Here is a 13818-nt window from a genome sequence, read left to right on the forward strand (position 1 = left end):
CAAGTAATTAAGGGTTAACAAGTGTGACAAGGGGAAGCACAGCAATCTCTGAGGGAGGTCAGGGATGGCTTCCCCAGGGAGGTGGCGCTTGAGCTGAAATGGAAGGATGAAAGGAAGCTGGGATTGAAGGGTTTGTGGCACTGGCCTCAGGCAAAGCACGTGCTAGGGACTTGGGACCAGCTGGCTATCTGGGGTTCCGTGGGATCCAGGGATTGCTGTACCTCACTATTTTGAATACCCGAAGGGCAGAGACTGGGTTGACAGACTCTTCCCTCTGCCCTGGCCAGCACAAGGCCTGGCTAAGTGGCCTTGGATGATAGGTAATGCTCCAGTATGGGCCCCCAGAGATGGGCATCTCCGGATCCTAGACTCTCAGAGCTCATGGCCCGAGATGTCATAGGGAGCCCTCATGGTACATACAGATGGGGCAGCTGAGGCCCGGAGGAGGAAGTGACTTGCTCAAGTTCACATGGCCATCTAGTGTCAGAGGCAGAAGAAAAGCCCACAACTGCCAGGCCTTCAGCTTCTTCACTCCTTTCTTCAGACTTCAAATGGAAAATCGCATCCCAGAGAGGTGCCTCTGCTAGGGGTGTGAAGAGCTGAGAAGGAAGCAAGGCCAAGGGAGTCTTCCCTGCCCTCCCCTCAACACCTTCAGGGGCTCCTTCCAGCTCTCTCTCCCTCACCCTTCTCTTGGAAATTCCCCTTGGGCCTGAAAGGGGCTCTCAATCAGTGTGCTCTCCCCATACTGTACCCTCCCTGCAGTCCCTGAAGCAGGGCTCCTAGCAAGGGTTGAACTGTGGTGGCCAAGCCCTGTGACCCCAAAAATCTGCATTCTCTTGTCAGCAGAGGGCAGAGTGAGAGCCTCCCCTCAGCACTTGCTCCTTGGAAATCCCTCTCTCTCCAGACCCTCAAAGCTGTCTCAGCTGCTCATGGCCTGTCACATGCTAAAGAAAACGAATAAGAGGAAGCATTGTATGTTATTTGGGCCACAGTGAACATGGTGGGGTTGGAGGAGCAGGGACACACACCTTCCTTGTGCGGACCCAAAGGCCACCTCTAGCCCGTTGGCAGACTTGGGGAAGTCAGCCAAGTCCCTGCAGCTTCCTTGGTTAGGAGGAGTGAAATCTCTGTCCGCCTCCCCCATCGTTAGTTATACCCCACTGTACTCTATGCCCTTGTACTCCACTGTCCTGAGGGGCTGATTCATTAAAAGACTGTCAGCCCACTCACAGGGTGCCCATCTCTGTGCTTGGCATGGAAGGGGCGATAGAGACAGCTCAGCTCACAGAGGATTTAAACCCTGAATCTTGTAGCAAAGTGCGTGATTCCCAGGAGGCTCCTGGTAGGGAGATTACTAAGTGAGGCCTCCTGTCTGCTTAGGACACCCCCTCCTCCAAGTCTAGCCAAGTGAGGTCTTCCCCACCATTTTCATTTTTATTTTTTGAGACAGAGTTTCGCTCTTGTTTCCCAGGCTGGAGTGCAGTGGTGCGATCTCTGCTCACCGCAACCTCCACCTCCTGGGTTCAAGTGATTCTCCTGCCTCAGCCTCCCGAGTAGCTGGGATTATAGGCGCCTGCCACCATGCCCAGCAAATTTTTGTATTTTTAGTAGAGACGGGGTTTCACCATGTTGGCCAGGCTGGTCTTAAACTGCTGACCTTGTGATCTGCCCGCCTCAGCCTTCCAAAGTGCTGGGATTACAGGCATGAGCCACAGCGCCCGGCCCCTTTTATTTATTTATTTATTTTTTTGAGACAGTCTCGCTGTGTCACCCAGGCTGGAGTGCAGTGGTGTGATCTCAGCTCACTGCAACCTCTGACTCCCAGGTTCAAGCGAATCTCCTGCCTCAGCCTCCCAAGTAGCCGGGACTACAGGTGCCCGCCACCATGCCTGGCTAATTTTGTATTTTTAGTAGACACGGGGTTTCACCGTGTTGGTCAGGCTGGTCTTGAACTCCCGACCTCAGGTGATCTGCCCGCCTCTACCTCCCAAAGTGCTGGGATTACAGGCATGAGCCACCGTGCCTGGCCTTCCCCACCATTTTCTAAGAGGGTCACGAGGCATTCCAGCTCATTCTTGTGGTTCCTGGAGTTCTGGTCCATATGCCTTCCATACCACCTACTTCTTCCCACCAGTCCTAGCCTAGCCTGTCCTGTGTTCTTGGCAGTGGGCAGTACTCCTCCCACAGGATCCTGGAGCAAGCACTGCCTTTGCAGTGAAAGTATTTATGCGCTATCATCACTACCTCCGTCAGTATGCAAGCGTCACCGTTGCTACTACAGCTAATCTACAAGCCCCACCATCTCCACCTCCACCAGTTTCTATTAAACACATAGGTACACCTACTATGTGCTGAGCCTGGGGTTACTCAAAGGAGTCAGACAATCACTGCTCTTCAGGAAACTGTTCTGGTTGGAAAGGCAGACACTAAAACTATTGTCTGAAGGCAAGTTCTGGGATGGTGAACACGGGGTGCAGGGGAGCCCTGGGGTGTGATCAGTACTATATCAGAAGGCAGCACTAATGTCTGTGGGGCCTTCATTAAGGAAGCACTGAGCTGGGGGAAGAGGGGGTGCAAGGAAGACTTCATGGAGGAGCAGCATGTAGAGCAGGGCATTGAGAATGAAAAGGCACCTTTCAGGCCAAGGTGGAAGAGGGGATGGCAGGTGTGAACGCCTGGAGTTGTGTGCTGGAGGGTGGCAAGCAGTTTTGTGTGGTTGTAGCTCTGAGAAGAAGATTCTCATCTCAGAGATGAGGTCGGAGATGAGGCTGAACTGGTGGGCAGGGGCAGCTCCTCCAACGCTTCTTGTGAAGGCCAAGGAACCTGCCACACTTCAGAAATCCTTTGAGCCTCTTCACATACCTGTCCTCACTTAATTCATGCCAAGAAATTTAGACTTTATCCTTGGGTATTCCCTCTACTCCCCCATACTAACTGTTCTTTTTATGGGCCCCAGTTTCCCTATCTATATAAATTCAGGGAATTGGCTAGCTGATCTCCGAGGTCTTTTTCAGCTTTGACACTAGGACCATTTTCTCTGTGCAAAGTGTACACGCAGCTTGGTACACAGTGTATGCTCAATGAATATTTTCTATGGGTGAATAACTTGCCAGCCTTTCAAGGACTGCACTGTTGTCAACCTGAGACTCTAGCAAGAGAAGGGCCTCAGAGAGAGTTGGGTTTAGCTTTGACTCTCACATTTTGCAGGGAGGGAAGAGGGTTTGCTGGAGCCATCGGGCATAAGAGGTAGCACGGTATAGTGGAGGGGCTTGTTCTGGTGGCAGGAAGGATAAGCCATGTGGGGTCTAGAACTGAGGGCTCTAGACTTCCAGCCCAGTGCTCTCTCTGCTCTACCATGTTGCCTCTAGTTGGAGAGACAGGGCAGAAGTGATGGTAAAGAAGAGTTATTGCCCAGGCAATGGGGCCCTGGGCAGGTCCCTCAGCACAAGGACACCTGTGATGAGGAGACAGAGGTGGGAGCGCCAGGCAGCCTAGAAGGCTTTTCTTCTCTCTGTTTTTAATTTTTCACTCTGTCACCCAGGCTGGAGTGCAGTAGCGTGATCTTGGCTCACTGCAACCTCTGCCTCCCAGGTTCAAGCGATCCTCCCACCTCAGCCTCCCAAGTAGCTGGGATTACAAGCATGAGCCACCACGCCTGGCTAATGTTTTGTGTTTTTAGCAGAGATGAGGTTTTACCATGTTGGCCAGGCTAGTCTCGAACTCCTGACCTGAAGTGATCTGCCCGCCTTGGCCTCCCAAAATGCTGGGATTACAGGTGTGAGCCACAATGCCTGGCGTTTTTAAAGAAAAAAAAAACATGCACACACACACACACACACACACACACACACACACACACACACACACACATATATATATATATATATTTTGGTTTTTTTTTTTTTGAGACGGAGTCTTGCTCTGTCACCCAGGCTGGAGTGCAGTGGTGTGATCTTGGCTCACTACAACCTCCACCTCCTGGGTTCAAGCGATTCTCCTGCCTCAGCCTTCTGAGTAGGTGGGATTACAGGCATGTGCCACCAAGCCTGGCTAATTTTTGTATTTTTAGTAGAGACAGGGTTTCACCATGTTGGCCAGGCTGGTTAAAAAAATATTTAACAGGCCGGGTGGTGTGGCTCACGCCTGTAATCCCAGCACTTTAGGAGGCCAAAGCAGGCATATCACCTGAGGTCAGGAGTTTGAGACCAGCCTGAACAACATGGTGAAACCCCGTCTCTACTAAAATTACAAAAATTAGCCGGGCATGGTGGTGCGCACCTGTAGTCCCAGCTACTCGGGAGGCTGAGGCAGGAGAATCGTTTGAACCGGGCAGGTGGAGGTTGCAGTGAGCCGAGAGCGTGCCCCTGCCCTCCAGCCTGGGTGACAGCGAGACTTGGTCTCAAAAAAATAAAAAAAATAATAAAAAAAGGACCTACCTTACACAATTGTGGATAAAATGAAGTAATGCATGAAAGCGGTTAGCACAGAGCCTGGCACATAGTAAACACTAAGTAAAAGGGTGCTACTATTTTGAACACTGTAACTACAGAAATACAGTCAGTTCGATACATTTGTACACACAGGCACGTGACAGTCACGGGGAGGTGGCTGGTGGGCTCTAGCGGCAGCAGGGCTGCGGATCCGCGTTCTCCCAGCTCCATTGCACTCCTCAGAGCGGTAGCCTCTGGGCTGAGAGAGTGGGCAACCCGCCTGCCCCACCTGGACTGGCCAGGCCTTCCCCTGTGCGCCCTAGGCTGGGCGGCTCAGCCGGTCTCCCAGGTCCCGGGAGGGGCGGAGCCGACGGGATGCGCGCCAGGCCCCGCCCCTCCTCCGGGCCCGCCCCCGGCCTGGCCATTGGCCGCAGAGCTCGGGGGCGTGGTCGAGCTGGGGCTGGGGGCGCCCGCGGTGCCCGCCCGCGAGTCTCGCTGCCTCCCTCCCGGGGCTGCGGGCCCGGCGGCCGGGCTGGCTGGGCCGCGCTTGGGTTCCCGCGCCGGCTCCCGCACCCGCAATGGGGAACTCACACCACAAGAGGAAGGCCCCCAGCGGTCCCCGGGTCCGCAGCTTCTGGCGGTTCGGGCGGTCGGCGAAGCGGCCGGCAGGTAGGGGCCGGGGTGGGGGCGGGGCAGGCAGGGAGGAGGGTCCCTACTGCGGTCGTCGCCACCGCTGCTGCCCCCTCCCGGGGCTTGGAGGGTGTGAGTGTGGGGGGGTCGGGAATCCCCGCGCAGACCCCACCCCTCACAGGCACACGGAGACACACGTACACGGTAATACCTACGGGCGGGCACACGTACATGTTCGCAGTTTACACAGTCACACGCACAACACCCACTCAAATGTACGGACACGCAGACACAGGATCACATACACCATCACACCCACACTCTCGTACCATCGCAGTAGGACGCACACAGCCTGAGACATAGGTACATGTATACCTATGCATGCGGTTTACACAGCCACACGAACTACACCCACGCGCAGATCCAGACACACAGGCACACAGTCGTTCACACACATCGGTCATGTGGGTACAGTTGCCCAGCGTCTTAGGCACACAGATGTACACACAGGTTCATAACTGCACAACCAACCGGACTCGCATTCAGGCTCACAGCAGACCCTAAGGCACTCGGACACACACGCTTATTTCCCAGATCTTAGCCCCCAACAGGCTGAAGGCTGAAAGTTTGTAGGAGGGAGGGGAGACAAAGGTGGAAGGGAGAAGCTGGAAACCCGGGGCTGGAGTCTGGGGACCGCCTCCATCTGGCGCGATCGGGAGTCGGACTGGTTTTCTTGGCTCCCTCCCTACCCCCACCCGCGCCACCGCGACTTCTCCCCGCCTCCCCCCCTCCCCCGTCCCCACGGTCCCCGAGGTCGCCGCCGCATCTCCCCCTTTCAATGCAGCCACCGAGCTGGAACGCAGCCCTTGCCGGCTGCTGCGGGATCCCTCCGCGGGTCACATTCCAGGCTCCAATGGGGAGGGGAGGGAAAGGGGAAGGCCTCCAATCCCAAGAGATGGGATTCCTGTTTCCCCCAACAAGTGCGGCAGTTCAGGGTATCCCCGAGGGGCGCTGAAGGAGGGGCTATCGAGAGTGCCTAGTTACTGGTGAATCCAGAGATGGGGGAAGGGCAGGGTGATGGTACCATTCCCTCCTCCCCAAGATAGAGGGTCTTCAACATAGGCAGGCACTTTAGCGATACCTGTTGGTCTGGGGGAGTGAGGAAATCCCAGAGGAGGTGGAGTGAAGGGGGCCCTGCTGTGGTGGGAGAATCTACGGGTGTATTCCCAGGATGGCCCACATTCCTAGAGATTCCGAACCGGAGCTTGATGATCTCATCGCTCCATGGAGGGGGTGGTGGAAAGAGCCTGGGCTGGGAAGTGGGGGACCTCTCCTCTCAATGAGGCTGTGGAATAGGCCCTGGTGACCTTGAGCAGATTCCTTTCACTTGTCTGGACCACTCTGGCTCCTACAGGGGTTCTGTCTGTGAAATCAGGGGCCCTAGGTGACTTCTTGGGACACTTACTGTTCTGGCTAGCCATTTCATGGATGACGAGACTGAGGTCCAGGAAAGAGGGACTTGTCCAAGGTCATTTGCCTGTGGTGGTTTGAGGTAGTAATATAATCAAAATGACAATAAGAAAAGGGTTAACTAAGTTCAGTTAGGCTCTTTGAGGATTTCTCAGAAGGTAGGTGTTGATGAGAATCTCCAGGACCTTCCAGCACTCTCCCTGCCCCAGCAGTCCTGAAAGCCCTGTCTGTGCCTACCTGTCTCTCCTAGAATCTGCACTAAGGGGGCAGGGCTGGGGCTCTTCATCTGTCCTCTGATGGTCGCTCGGATCTGATGGTTTCCTAGGAACTAACTGTGGGCCCAGACTTGTGACCATTTGTGATGGAGGAGAGAGAAGATAAGAAGGCTGTGTTTATAGTCTCTTGCCTACTGGCCCTTGAGGAAGTGGCCTGGGGCTTCCAGCAACACTTGTGAGCTTCCAGTTCCTGCTGCAACTTATGGGTCAACTCAAGCTTTAAGGCGTTCTGAAAAAAATTAGAAAGCAATGTCAAGACAACACAGAAATTAAGTGTGAGGGGCTAGGAAATATTCTAGGCAATATATCAAAAGCCTTCTGGGTTGGGGTCAGCTTTAGAAAACTGAGGAGATGGTCCTAATTTGTCTTTGAAGTAATCACAGGATTGAAATTAGTCCTAAATTGTTGGTTAAATGAGAGAACCAGGGATTTGTTTCAGCTGTGGGGTATGGCCGTGAGTAAAGGCATGGAGTTGAGGTCAGGCGAGGTGGTTTATGCCTGTAATCCCAGCATTTTGGGAGGCCGAGATGGGAGGATAACTTGAGCCCAGGAGTTTGAGAGTAGCTTGGGGCAACATGACGAGACCCCCCCCCCCCGCCCATTTCTACAAGAAATAAAACAGTATCTGGGCGTGGTGGCACATGTGCCTTTGGTCCCAGTAGCTTGAGAGGCTGAGGTGAGGGGATTACGTGAGCCTGGGAGGTCAAGGCTGCAGTGAGCCGATCGTGCCAGTGCACTCCAGTCTGGGTGACAGAGTGAGACCCTGTCTCCAAAAAAAAAAAAAAAAAAAAAAAAGAATGGGCTGGATGCAGTAGCTCACACCTGTAATCCCAGCACTTTAGGAGGTTGAGGTGGGTGGATCACCTGAGGTCAGGAGTTTGAGACCAGCCCAGCCAACATGGTGAAACCCCGTCTCTACTAAAAATACAAAAACTAGCCAGGCGTGGTGGTGGGCACCTGTAATCCCAGCTACTTTTGAGGCTGAGGCAGGAGAATCACTTGAACCCAGGAGGTGGAGGTTGCAGCGAGCCGAGATTGCGCCACTGCACTCCAGCCTGGGTGACAAGAACTCGACTCCATTTCAAAAACAAAAAACAAATGGAGTTGAGACTGAGCATGGAGGTGGGAGGGAAAAGTAGCTGAGGGTCCTCTTGAGGTTCCATTGTGAATGTAAACCTCGGTACCTTTGGTTTTACTTGTGCTGAGGATCCTAAGTCATCCTCGGCCTCAGCCTCTGCTGTGACAAGCCCAGATGGGGACTGGAGCTTGAGTATAAGTACTCAAGTGCCAGTATAAGTACTCATTTCATTAGTCTGTGAGAAGAGGAAGGAGAGAATACAAGGCAGGGAGAGAGGTCTGGAGTCTGCAGGCCACAGGGAGCCAGTGAAGGTGTTTGAGCAAGGGAGGAGTCTACAAAAGTGGGGTGTTAGGAAGATGGCTCTAGGGTGGGGGCAGGTGCAGGCAGGACAGGTTGAGGGGTGGGGTGGTGAGAGTGGAGGCTCAGAGACTGTTGCAGTAATCCAGGGGAGAGGTGATGAGGTGAGGGCTGGGGACAGGGTGGGGGTTGTGGGAGTGGAGAGGAGTGGCAGCTGCAGAGACACTTCGGAGGAAGTGGCTGAATTGATAAGACCTGGGATTAACCAGATGTTGAGAGTAAGGGCCAGAGGGAGCTGTGTGGGCTTCTGTGCTTGAGGCTGCTTGGCTGGGAGATGGTAGCAGAGATAAAAATAAGTCCCTATGCTGTCCCTTTACATCAGTTAATTCATTTGTCCTTTGTCCTCCAACAGTCCCACAAGCCACAGGCTATTCTCCCATTTTAGAGATGAGGAAGCTGAGTTCGGAGAAGTGAAGTCACTTTCTCAAGGCCACACAGCAAGGAGATGGCTGAATCTGGATTAAAACTCAAGCCTGTCACATTACAAAGCCTGTGCCCTTAATCAGTTTAGGAATAGAAGGGTGTCATCTTATGACACCCTGCACGTCCTCTGGGCAGAGAAAGCCTGCGGCCCCGGCCCCGGGGGATTTGGACTATGTAAAGAGGACTAGTGGAGGAAGCACTGTGGGGAGGGTTAGGGGTTGAGGACTAAGCATTAAAGCCTCCAAGCGCTTAGAGAGGAAGCAAGTGGGAAGGGGAAATCAAGACTCAAGGAAGCGTTGATCCCGCAGATCAAATGCCCTTGTAAGGTAGAGAAGGGTGAAGGTGTATGAGGTGAGGCCTCCTGACTGCTGGAAAGATACTGTAACCTGCCGGGATTGTTTGGTCTTGGCACTCAGGGATCCACCCAACTCTCCCCTTCCCAGGCTAGCTGAGCACTCGGTCCTGGGTAGGTTGGGGAATGGTGGTGGATGTGAATTGGTAACCCAGGAAGACCCGCCCTCTTCCTTTTCCCATGCGTTGCACTGTCAAGCTCACACACATGGCCCTCCTTCTGGTTGGATTTATTGTTCCCATTGTGCACATGGGGAGACTGAGGGAAGGGACTGCTGGAGTCAGACCATCTGGAATTCTTTTCATCCTTCCCCCTGCCTGTAGACCTGGAGGTTTAACTTCTTGGAGTCTGGGGTCTTTGGTAGGTTCCACAGCTGGACAAGGCTCCCTCCTCCATTCCCCCCATGTCTCGTCCCCTTTCTTGTGGGGAGACTTGTGATCAACTGCTTGGGTGACTTGCTTGTGGGAGCCCCGGGCTTCCAGATAAGAGGCTGGTCCAGCTCTCTCTGATCCCAGGGATCTGAGATAAGCGGAATCTCCTTGCTGCCCCAGGCCCCGACTCAAGGAAGGGAAGCACTGACCCCCCTTCCTTCTAGGGGCAAAGTCATCCATGGTGAGGGCTCTTTGAAGATCATCTCTCCAACCCCTGCCACATCTCAGATGAAGAAACTGAGGCCCAGAAAAGCACAGTACCTGGCTCAGGATCATGTTGCAATTAAGGGGAAATGAAAGCTCCAACCTAGGAATCCTCACTCCAGGGCAGTGAGATCTGGTCTGGGCCTGGAATTCCCTTCCTTCCCAAACTGAGGGGTTAGGGCTGCCACATGGAGGGGTGTCACTAAGGAGAGATAGGGAGCTGATGTCAAGTGTTCCTTATCAGACCTTATCTTAATGGTCCTTAACCTTACTTGAGATTTGAAGAGAGCTGGAGTGGTGGGGAGAGGAGGCTGCTGGTGGCATAGGAAGAACATGATTTTGCAGCCAGTCAGAGTTGGGCTCACATCCTGCCTCTGCCATTTCTAGCAGTGTGACCTTGGGCAAGTCTCTGACCCTTGGGGTCAGGGTTTACACTAGATTGTGTGGCTTTCTTTAAGGTTCCCAGGCACTCTGTGATGTGGGTGTTAGTCCCACCTTACAGATGAGGGGACTGAGGCCCAGAGAGGCCAATTCCTTCATCCAAGGCCTGGAATCCAGACCTCCTGATTCCCAGCTCTTTCTTCTCCTTACTCTGTGGTGTCTGCCTCTGGCATCCATAAGATGGGGATAATCATGCCTTGAAGGAACTAAGGAAAGGGCTGTGGAAAGTTAGAATTGCGCCTTGGCTGAAAGGGATTATTATGTCATTGCTGGGAGCAAATACTGGCCCAGAAACTCATTAGGACATTTATTAATATTATCGTAGCTAATTCCTCCGTGCACTACTGCCTGTTCCCCCAGGGCACCCTGTGGGATGGGCTCCTCCCCTCCCTGCTCTGGGCACTCCCTGCCCCCCATTATTTACCTTAGAACCGGCCTGTCAGCTCTGTCCCTGCTGGGGTGGGGCTGGACACCAAGGGAAGGAAGGAGAGGGATTCCGGCACAGGTGGGGTGCAGAGCCCCTACTTTCTTTGGGCAGAGATTGAGGTCGTGCCCCTCCCCCAACTGCCCTTACCCATTAACTTTCTCAGACTTAGGATCACTAAGGTTGTTGGAGTGAGACCCAGGTTCAACCACTCCCTGGTTGGGTGACCTTGAGCAAGTTAGTCACTTTCCCTTGAGCCTCCTGGTGCTCATTTGTAAAAAGGAAACCACTCCTGCCTTTTAACTTTCTTGTTAGGTGTTCTGCGAGACAGTAGAAGAGAAAGTGTTTTGAGAACCGTAAAGTGCCTCCACCTGAAAGTTTGTTATGCTCATTTTCCTTTGTCTTGCCTCTTTGGGAATAAAATCTACATTCTGGTTTCTGCTTCTGCTTCTAGAATGTGTAATGGTTGGGGAGCGGGGGCCTTCGTTTGTCCACCTGTGCAGTGAGGGGTTGAGGCTAAGGGCCTCTGAACACCCAGCATTCTGGCTCATGGGCTGGCCAGGGACAGTTCAGACAGGAGTAGGGAGTTGGGGGCTGGGTTGGCTTCAGAGGGTTCGGCCTCCTGAGCAAGGCCACCTGGACAGCTGTGCCCTCCCCCTTCATTCCTCTCCCCTGAGTCAGGCCTGCCTGGCTGTGGGCGCGCCACCACCCCCGCCCCTTGCTCTGGAATGGGGCAGGTTGAGGCCTCACCCCATGGAGGATGTTGCCAAGACAGTGCGTGCGCATGCGCGTGGCCTTGGGAGGCAGTGGCTCCCTCCCCGATTCTTCCCTTTCCCCAGGCTTAGGAAAGCCCCTGAGTAGGGGCTACACACACCTGTTTTTCTGTACACACAGCCCCTTGGCAGGCCCTGTGTGGGTCTGTGCGGTCGCTCATGGGTGAGGAAGGCAGGGACTAGGGTGGCTTAGGTGTGCTTTATGGGTGTGTGTGTGTGTTTTTTTTTTTTTTTTGTTTGAGACCGAGTGTCACTCTGTCACCCAGGCTGGAGTGCAATGGCGTGGTCTTGGCTCACTGCAACCTTCGCCTCCTGGGTTCAAGCGATTCTCCTGCCTCAGCCTCCTGAGTAGCCGGGATTACAGGAGCTCGACACCATGCCCAGCTAATTTTTGTATTTTTAGTAGAGACGGGCTTTCACGGCGTTGGCCAGGCTGGTCTTGAACTCCTGACCTCGCGATCCACCCGCCTTGGCCTCCCAAAGTGCTGGGATTACCGGTGTGAGCCACCGCACCCGGCCATGTGGGTGTGGTTTTGAGAGTGCCCACCTGCGGAGGTGGCCCCAGTGGGACGCTGCCTGCTGCCTGAGTCTCTGCCCTGGTAAACTGTCTCTGAGTTGAGGAGCCCGCAGGTGTGCTTCCCGGTGTGCCCTCCGTGCTGGGGGCGTGGCCACCAGGAGCAAGGTGTCTTCTCAGATCCAGGAAGCCTCCTCCCCCAGGCATGTTGGGGATGGGGGTGTGGTATGGGATGCTTCCCTCATGGCCTCAGCCCTAGGCTGCACCTCTGGACTGCCAGGGGCAGAAATCCCTGGAACAAGGACTCTAAGCGTGGCTGTGGGCAAGGTCTTTCCACTCTCTGGACCTCAGTTTCTTTGTGAAGTACCCCTCCCAGTCACCTGAGACTCAGGTTGCTGAGCCCCTCCCCAAGCGAGCCACAGGTGTATAGATCTGGGGTGACTCGGAGAGGCTGCGAGCTCTGACTTGGGTGGGGAGGGGGAGGGGTGTCGCTGGGGCAACCAGATGTTATCAAGTGTAAGCCCTTGGATCTCTGGGAATTTGCAGCTGTGGCCCTGACTGCCAGCTGTGGGCCTGGGACCTTGATGAGCTGATGTTCCTCCACCCCCATCTTGGCAGGAGCTCAGCCCTTAGTTTCCCTGGTTAGAGGGTAGCTGAAGATGACTGTCCTGTGTGGTGAAAGGCTCCAGTTTTAGAGCCAGCCAGAGTTCAGGAAGTCACTTAGCTCTCTGAGCCTCGCAGGCCCATGATCAATTACTAGGAAAGTACCTTCCAGTACCTGCCTCGAAGAACTTTTGTAAGAGCCATGAGGACAGAGACTACGTTTTGCCTTTCACCACGACCTGGCATGGTGCCTGGCATGAATTAATCACCCTGCAAATGTCGGTCTACTGGTCTTTTCTGTTTGTGTGAGACTGATAAGAAGAGTGGGTGGGTGGGTGGATCTGGCCTAAGAGGGGAAGAGTGGGGAAGGTAGGTGGTCGAGAAACCTCCAATTTGTAGGGATGATGGGGTCCCATGACCCTTTTTCAGAGGGGAGATCAGGTTTGTAGCTGGCACAGTGCACAGAACGTGGCTTTTGGATTCAAGTTGTTCTGAGTGAGAATACTGCTTTGCCATTTACACCATGGAGGCCAGAGAGGGCAGCTTTATAATGCTTGCTCCCTCTGGTTTCCATTTCCTCATCTATAAAATGGGAATAAAAGTGCCTACTTCTTAGGATTATTGTTTAGATCTCATTGATTTGTTGATGTGACTATTCAGCTCCACAAATGTTTGTTCTCTGGAGAGCAAGATCTCAGCTTGTACTTGAGTAGTCTCCAAGAGGCCAGTGTTAGGGTGGCAGCAACTGGGGAAGGAACTGCAGGGGGGTCGTGTTGCTTGGGAGCCTCTGTGAATTTTTAGTTCCCTAGGGACTCAGAGAGAAAGATGCTATGACAGAGAGGTGTCCTTAGGCACGGCTGGTGGGATACTGCACAGATACATATATATAGTTCACAGACTCTCTTTCACAGTCTCTGCTATGTTTTTTAGAGTTATCAGGGGAATCTTTTTTTTTTTTAAGCTTTATTTTTATATATTTACTTTTTTTTTTTTAGAGACAGGGACTTACTGTGTTGCCCAGGCTGTAGTGCAGTGGTACAATTATAGCTCACTGTAACCTCGAACTCCTGGGCTCAAGCCCAGCCTCCCAGGAAATCTTTTATTTATTTTTTTTTTTGAGACGGAATTTTTTTGCTCTCTTGCCCAGGCTGGAATGCAATGGCTGCGATCTCGGCTCACTGCAATCTCTGCCTCCCGGATTCAAGCGATTTTCCTGCCTCAGCCTCCCAAGTAGCTGGGATTACAGGCGCCCGCCACCGCGCCTTGCTAATTTTTGTATTTTTAGTAGAGACGGGCTTTCACCATATTGACCAGGCTGGTCTCAAACTCCTGACCTCGTGATCCACCCACCTTGGCCTCCCAAAGTGCTGGGATTACAGGCATGGGCCACCACGCCCGGCCCGGTCTTGAACT

General features: G+C 53.6%; 1 protein-coding gene across 2 annotated transcripts in view, besides 5 other annotated features; it reads left to right on the forward strand.

Annotated features, from left to right (window-relative positions):
* Positions 1-13818, forward strand: part of NHSL3 (NHS like 3) — a 33141-nt gene that overhangs the window by 7252 nt on the left and 12071 nt on the right. Inside the window, exon 1 of one of the 2 annotated variants that reach the window (NM_001369553.1) lies at positions 4918-5099. The exons of the other annotated variant lie outside the window; for it this stretch is intronic. Within the exon in view, the coding sequence (NP_001356482.1) occupies positions 5009-5099 (91 nt within the window). The 5' untranslated portion in view covers positions 4918-5008. Of the gene's footprint in view, positions 1-4917; positions 5100-13818 lie in introns of those variants that run through there. 2 annotated transcript variants of the gene reach the window in all.
* Positions 4701-4960: a silencer, noted in NCBI's record as "silent region_608". NCBI's record gives its function as "represses an Ori minimal core promoter by ATAC-STARR-seq in GM12878 lymphoblastoid cells {active_cell/tissue: GM12878}" and the evidence as "EXISTENCE:reporter gene assay evidence [ECO:0000049][PMID:35858748]".
* Positions 5084-5597: an enhancer, noted in NCBI's record as "H3K27ac hESC enhancer chr1:33219766-33220279 (GRCh37/hg19 assembly coordinates)". NCBI's record gives its function as "activates a minimal SCP1, AML or CMV promoter by ChIP-STARR-seq in naive H9 embryonic stem cells {active_cell/tissue: H9 hESC(naive)}" and the evidence as "EXISTENCE:reporter gene assay evidence [ECO:0000049][PMID:30033119]".
* Positions 10322-11204: an enhancer, noted in NCBI's record as "H3K27ac-H3K4me1 hESC enhancer chr1:33225004-33225886 (GRCh37/hg19 assembly coordinates)". NCBI's record gives its function as "activates a minimal SCP1, AML or CMV promoter by ChIP-STARR-seq in primed H9 embryonic stem cells {active_cell/tissue: H9 hESC(primed)}" and the evidence as "EXISTENCE:reporter gene assay evidence [ECO:0000049][PMID:30033119]".
* Positions 11205-12088: an enhancer, noted in NCBI's record as "H3K27ac-H3K4me1 hESC enhancer chr1:33225887-33226770 (GRCh37/hg19 assembly coordinates)". NCBI's record gives its function as "activates a minimal SCP1, AML or CMV promoter by ChIP-STARR-seq in primed H9 embryonic stem cells {active_cell/tissue: H9 hESC(primed)}" and the evidence as "EXISTENCE:reporter gene assay evidence [ECO:0000049][PMID:30033119]".
* Positions 12723-12943: a silencer, noted in NCBI's record as "fragment chr1:33227405-33227625 (GRCh37/hg19 assembly coordinates)". NCBI's record gives its function as "represses an EF-1alpha promoter that drives an FKBP-Casp9 reporter gene in an ReSE screen in HepG2 liver carcinoma cells {active_cell/tissue: HepG2}" and the evidence as "EXISTENCE:reporter gene assay evidence [ECO:0000049][PMID:32094911]".

This window comes from Homo sapiens, chromosome 1, assembly GCF_000001405.40.
Source record: "Homo sapiens chromosome 1, GRCh38.p14 Primary Assembly".
Classification (NCBI taxonomy): Eukaryota; Metazoa; Chordata; class Mammalia; order Primates; family Hominidae; genus Homo; species Homo sapiens.